The 3,642-nt window shown below is 39.5% G+C and overlaps 1 pseudogene; it reads right to left on the bottom strand.

Moving 5' to 3' along the window:
• Positions 441 to 1,065, bottom strand: NARS1P2 (asparaginyl-tRNA synthetase 1 pseudogene 2; annotated as a pseudogene).

Raw genomic sequence — 3,642 nt, 5'->3', positions numbered from 1 at the left:
TAAAAGAACGGAAATATTAAGTTACTGGAATGTCTTAGATGATAATTTAAAACTATTGAAATATTTATATGGTATATATGACTTATAATTGGGTAAAATGACGAAATTTATCTGTAACTACAGAGTTACATGCCACATATTTTCCCCAAATTTTGTAATGGGTATTTTGTTAAGATGACAACCTCATGTCACTTCATGTTCAACTGATCTGGGCTACTTTTTGTGGTAGTAAAAATAAAAAACAGAAAGAGAAAACAGAAACAGTTATACACCAATGAAACAACAAAAAAGGAAGATTCTGGCTTTTTTGTTCTTGTTTTTTTAAAGGGGGAGCCTATTCCTTTCATGAATCATATTCTTTCCTTCATGCTTCAGGAGGAATTGGTTATGGCTTGCAGCACTGGACACATCAAGGGTATAAGCGTACACCTCAGGTGTGACACAAGCCATATCTTCCATGAGGACATGAACTGTATTTTCTCTGATCTACATACCAGTAATGGGGAGTGGGGTCAATCTCTTTCATTTCATAACCTTCTAGCATTTCTTCACCATCGCAGGTATGTATTGAGCCTCCGACATTCTCACCAACATTGGACATCAACAAGTCAACAGATTCAGTAAGATGGGAATCCTCAGGACATTGCTGTATATAGAAGGACTTGATCTCCAAAGGAAATTGACACAGAAAGATTAGTTCATTAATGGTGTCTGTCTTCACTCTCTCAGGGGCTTCTGGGATATCTTCTCCAAATTCATAAAAAGTTCCATGTTCTTTCTTTATATTGTGTTCTTTCAGCCACACAATAGTGTCTGAATAGTTTATCCTTTTGAAAGGCTGTTTGTGGGGCTTAAACTTCAGGTTGAGGTCATACACTTTGCTCACTACAGGTGACTTTAAGACTATCTACTATGTCACAAGCCAAGTCCTCCAGTCAGTTCAGGAGGTCCTCACAGGTCATGAAAAAGCACTTGGCTTCCATATAAGCGTATTCAGCCAGGTGCCTTCACGTTTCAGACTGTTCTGCCCTGTATGACTGTGCAATACAAAAAACATCTCCCAGGCTATGGTAGTTCATTATCACTCCTATTACTATCACTAATATTTATTTCCCTGATTCTGCAAAACAAAATACCATAATTTTTCTATGTTAATAGTTTCTTCTCAGTTTGCCATTAAAAAGTTATTTAATGGTGCTGCTCGATCTTAATGGCTTATAATACTAGACAAGTCACCAAACTTTCCAGTTTCTTTATCTATAAAGTTGTTACAGGTAGTTAGTCATGAGCAGGGCAGGAGACAGCTCTCCCTCAAACCACTAAGAATATCAGGGATGGTTCAGCAATTACCACACTACCTCTCTAAAGCTAGGGAGAGACAGTCTCCTGATAATCCACAGCTGTTAACATAAAAGTGTTAACTGAATACAATTGCCAGGGAGAAGAAACTTCCGGGTCATGTGCATTCAGAGACAAAATGGCAAAGCGTGACCTTCCGGGTACACTCTGTGGGAAAAAAGGAAGACAACCTCAGATGGGCGTATGTACAACTTCCTAAACACACTGCACAGGCTCAGTTCCCAAGGGTAAAGAGGGCACTGCACATGCAGGAAGCCCACCCTAAGGGAAGAATCACGGGAAAAAGGTGAGCTTATAATGCCCTAGGAATAGGATTAACCTTCATGTGCCCCCTTGGGTCTCTTGCAAGTGCACCTTACTTCCTTTCTTGTTCTAAACCCTTTTTAAATAAACTTCCACTCCTATTCTGAAACTTGCCGTGGTTTCTTCTTCTGCTTTATGCCCCTCAGTCGAGTTCTTTCTTCTGAGGAGGCAAGAATTGAAGTTACTGCAGATGTGTGCAGACACGCCATTGGTAACTCAGTGTAACTCAGATACCTTTCACTGGTAACAAAGTGAGGCCATTAATCTTAACCTAGTCATCTTAATTTAGTTTCATCCTAATGTAGTCAATCACAGATTAACTTTATCAAATTCAGTAATTTCTCAATGAAGTTTTTAAACTCCACAAATTAAAAATTTTGCCACCCACCCCACCTTCCCACTGTTCTTCAGAGTATGTTTTGTTCCTGGTCTACATATCCTGGCAATCCCTCTGTCCTCTGCAGGCATCCACCAGCAGTGGTCCTCAAACTTAAATCTGCAGCAAATTTCCCTGGAGGGCTTATTAGAACAGAGACTGCTGGGCCCACTCCTAGAGTTTCTGATTCAGTAGGTCTGGAACAGGGTCTGAGAATCTATCTCCCTTTCTTACATGATACCAGCTTATGCCGATTCTGCTGGTCAGGGAACATGCATTAAGAACCACTGCCCAAAGGCATACTTTGCATGTACTGCTCTTTTCTTTGTTGAGACTATTGCTGAAGACAATTCAGTAGGTCAGTGCCACACCCAAATCCTTTGTAGAGTCATGGGAGAATTTCTTAGGCACTCTACTTTCCACGGACACAGAGGATTCCAGGAACTGGTATTTTCCGTTTGCCTCCCCGTGGCTAGCCACTTTTTTTTGTATATTTGTTACTGCAACCTCTGCTGCAACTTGATGTCACTAAGGAAATGGGACCCAGGTCCCATGTACTTTTAGACTGTCTTCCACCTTTAAAAAATGTTGAAGGGATCTTTTATTCTCACCTCCTCCCATTGGGGCATTGACTGGAGGAAGAAGAAAGCAGATTACTTTTGTCCTCCGGAGCTAAATTCCTCCCTCCCATGGAGTTTCATCTTCTCTGAAGAAACTAAAAGTACAAAGATGGCAAGAAATTCATCCTTTCTAAAAATTTTTCCAACTTTTATTTTAGATACAGGGGGTACATATACAGGTTTGTTACATGAGAATATTGTATTATGCTGAGGTTTGGGGTACAGATCCTATCACCCAGGTAGTGAGCATAGTGTCCAGTAGGTAGCTTGACAAAACACACCCGACTTCCTTCCTCTCCTCTCTAGTAGTCTTCAGTGTCTATTGTTCCCATGTGTATGTCCAGTTGTGCTCAATGTTTAGCTTTCACTTGTAAGTGAGAATATGCGGTATTTGGTTTTCTGTTCCTTCATTAATTTGCTTAGTATTATGGCCTCCAACTGCATCCATGTTGTTACATAGAATATGATTGTATTCTTTTATATGGCTGCATAATATTAGATGAAGTATATGTATTATATTTTCTTTCCAATGGCCAATCCACCATTGATGGGCACCTAAGTTGACTCCTTGTCTTTGCTACTATGAATAGCACCACAATGAACATAGAGTGCATGTGTCTTTATGGTAGAATGATTTATTTTCTTTTGGGTATATACCCAGTAGTGGCACTGCTGGATCAACTGGTAGTTATATTTATAGTTCTTTGAAAATTCTAAAACCTGCTTTCTACAGGGACTGAACTAAATTACATTCCACCAGCAACATACAAGTGTTCTCTTTTCTCCAAAACCTTGCCAACATCTGTTATTTTTTGACATTTTAATAGCAGCCATTCTGACTGGTATGAGATAGTATCTCATCATAATTTTGATTTGCATCTTTCTGATGATTAGTGATGATGAGTATATTTTTCATGAGTTGATTGGCCACTTGTATGTCTTCTTTAGAGAAGTATCTATTCATGTCCTTTGCCCATCTTTAAT

Source organism: Homo sapiens, chromosome 8 (assembly GCF_000001405.40).
Source record: "Homo sapiens chromosome 8, GRCh38.p14 Primary Assembly".
NCBI classification, from domain to species: domain Eukaryota; kingdom Metazoa; phylum Chordata; class Mammalia; order Primates; family Hominidae; genus Homo; species Homo sapiens.
The sequence above is the reverse complement of the archived record's forward strand: the minus strand, read 5'-3'. Positions and strand labels throughout refer to the sequence as shown.